Genomic DNA, 3,745 nt, shown 5'->3' on the forward strand with positions numbered 1-3,745 from the left:
TGTATTTTTTGCAGAGACTGGGTTTCACCTACGTTGACCAGGCAGGTCTGAAACTCTTTACCTCAAGTAATCCACCTGCCTCGGCCTCCCAAAGTGCTGAGACTACAGGCATGAGCCACTGTGCCTGGCCTTCCATGCTTCTTGTACAACCTGCAGAACCATGAGCCAAATAAACATGGCTTATAAATTAGCCAGCCTCAGGTGTTCCTTTATGGCAACACAAAATGGGCTAATACACCGGGTGAGCCCAGTATCTCTGTATGCGCTGCTCTTGGCTTTATTCACATTTCTAATGGTAGAAACGGTAGGATGGCACGGAGTTCAGAAAAGTAAGGTTTTATGTTAACCTCTGTATAGATACAGCACATTTTGATACCACTATTTTCCAGCCTGATGGATTTTTGACTCTGTGATTATGAACACAAACATCTTATTGAAAATTATATAACTATTGATAAATTTTACTTCAGAAAACATTTACCAAAGCAAAATCCATTGATCTATTTTCATTGATAATTTATGTAACACATAAAGTGTTTCCATCTCTTTGTTTTCATTTTTATTTCATGGAAAATATTTTATTTGGAATGGATTATTGTGAATAGTACATTTGTTTTTCTTCTGTACATCATATTGAATCTGCTTCAGTGCCTCATGCAGCCAAAATGGAAGTACCAATTGAGGGCTGTATGAGTCAGGGTCCTGAGAGGACACACATTGCCCACTCAGCCGAGATATTTTCCTTTTTAGCTTAAGAGATTGCTGTTTTGGCTTTTATTATATATTATTCAAAAAACAAACTAAAGTTACACATCATTACTTGAATTTTAGTAGTTTCTGACCTTTGACACTTAAAAGTGGTTGTCTTAGTTCATTTGGGTGGCTATAACAGAACACACAGACTGGGTAATCTATAATAAACAGGTATGTATTTGGTTTACAGTTCTGGAGGTCGGGAAGTCCAAGAGCATGCTGCTGGCATTTGTCAAAGGCCTTCCTGCTGTGTCATCCCGTGGTGGAAGGCAGAAGGGCCAGAGAGGGTGATGGCAAGCTCAATTCACATCCATCACAAGCCCACTCTGGCAACAGTGAATCCACTCCCTCAATAATAACATTAATCCTTTCATGAAGGCAGGTCCCTCATGGCCTAATCACCTCTAAATGGTCCCACCTCTCAATACTGTTTTATGGAATTGTGTCCAACACTTGAATTTTGGGGGACACATTCAAACTATAGCGATCATGAAAAATCTTTTTTATTATCTCAAATGTCACCAAAATCTCTAGGCTTTTCCTTTATAGTCAATAAAAGTGTAATTAAATACATGAAAAAATCTCCAGTTTTGTTATTTCAAACTCCATTTAAATTTGACTGTTGGCTCAAAATTCAGTGAGCTACCCTTTTATCAAATCACTGTCCTTAGAGAATCCATGGTTAAATTAATACATCCAGTATTTGTTGTCATTGATAGTAATGGTAAAATTTTGTTTGTGGGAATTTTGGCTAAATTAAGATTCCTACATAAAGAGGCATTCAGAGGTCCAAACATCATTCCACTGCAATTAAGCTAGTTTCTCATTCCTTCCTTTCCTGAAATAACATTTTTTTTCCTAGAGAAGCAGTTAATAAAATTTCTTTTCAATATGCTTCATAGAAATCAGAATGTTTTCCAATAAAAACAGCTTCTCGCTGTTTTTCACTCTGGTCATCTTAGCTCTGCATAGATACATTGAGTTTATTTTAGGTGTCTAAATGAATGTGCTGCATGCTGTAGAGAAGGAATAAATGCCCTATTTTTGAAGACATAATTTCCATTTTTGCTTAGTTGAGAGGCAGCATTGCTGCATGGAGAAGCTCCATTGCTTCTCTATAAGAAAGAAAGATTGCTTGCTTGGTACCAATTTCTAAAGAGAAAGCACAAAGGATCATTGGTTTAGAGCAAGTCCTGTGATATGACAGCTCCCACAGTTTCCCAGAATATCCTTTAGTTTTAAAGCAGGCAAAGGCAGGTAGACAACAGCCAAGCATACAAAGAACAATCATGCTTTGAAGATTTTTTCCTTAATGGCCGAGTTTCTTTCTAGCATAGAAGTGGTGCCATCAATGCAAGCTGATCCACTTGTGAGTGATGTGATCATGCCCTTTAGAAGTCTCTTCAGATGGAACCAAGTGCTTTCACTCGGGGTTTACGCCAGTGATTCAGTCATGTGGGATTTTTGAAGACACTTTTAAATGAAGGGAATGATTGATTACACAGACTGGGCAGAGTTAAGGGACACAGAGGGTATACTGAGGTACCGTGGGAAGCTTTATCCTCCCAGGCAATGGTGTTACCAGAGCCTGGGTGAAAGCTAGAGTTCTAGAAGAATCTACGCATAGAGGGTGCATTCCCTGCCAGAACCATGCCAAAGCAGGGAGAAAGAAAGAAAAATACATACCCAACTTCCCTCCCCTCCCACTCTCTGACCCCCTATCAGTCAGTGCTTCCCCTTGACCAACCCTTTGGGAAATCCAAGGGCATGAGAGCAGGAGGGCAATGTCCGCAGGAGGCGGCATCCCAAAGCACAGAGCAGAAAAACAGAGGGTGGAGAGTGGACTGAGAGGTTGGGTGGGGAAGAACAGAGTATCACCAGCACAGGTAGCATCCCCTCTACTCAGATAGCACAGATGACCCAGATCATTCCAGAAGAGTCCATTGGTTTACAGTCTGCTCCTGTCACTCTGGCTCTGAGAAGGTGGGCGTTTCCTCTGCTTTCTCCCGTGCTATGGAGTTTTTGCTCAGGTGGGGCACCTTGACAACTCTCCCACATCCATTCTCCCCACGCGCACCCTGTGAATGCTCCCCTCTGAGCTCCTGCCCACTGTTCAGGGAAAGAAAAGGCTTGGAAGACTGGCCCTGCTATTTAAGGGTCTACAAATAAAATAAAACTAATCCTTCCAGTTAGTTGGGGGATAAACTTTTTTAAAACCTGATCATGAAAAAGTTTATTTCCCACCTGCTGTTGTTTGAATGTATCCCCCAAAAATTTCTGTTTTGAAACTTAATTGCCATTGTAACACGATTAAGAGGTAAGGCCTTTAAGAGATGACTAGGCCATGAAATCTCCACTCTCATGAATGGACTAATGCTGTTATCACAGGAGTGGGCTCCTGACAAAAGGATAAGTTTGGCCCCCGTTTTCTCTCTCTCTCACAGTGGGATGCCCTTATACCATGGCATGACTCTTGCCAGATGCTGGTGCCATTCTCTTGGACTTCTCAGCCTCCAGAAACGAGAGCCAAATACACTCCTGTTCTTTATAAATTATGTAGTTTGTAGTATTCTCTTACATCAACAGAAAACTGAAGACACATTTTAAAAGAAACTGAGTCTTTGTGGAAAACTCTAGAAATTCAGAGTTCACCTTTTGTTGCCAATTTCTACAAAGTCAAGACTTACAGAAAAATCACAATTCTTCCTTCAGTTCTGGAAAATCTCTTTTTTTTTCTTCCCCCCTCCCTCAGTTTCAGAAAATCTCTAACAAAAATTTTTTATGTGCAATTTTAATATTTGCCAGTATCTGGTGTTGATTTTTTCTGCTGGTGACATTTGTAATTTGGATTTAAGACTAATACTTCATATTTATTTATTTATTCAATAATCTATGAGAAATTGTTCATGGTTTTGCCCAAGAATTCCAGAACTGCAATATTACTAATTATTCGTCTATTTTTTTGCTAGTTTAATTCTTACATATTCTTCTC

Source organism: Homo sapiens, chromosome 7 (genome assembly GCF_000001405.40).
Source record: "Homo sapiens chromosome 7, GRCh38.p14 Primary Assembly".
NCBI lineage: Eukaryota > Metazoa > Chordata > Mammalia > Primates > Hominidae > Homo > Homo sapiens.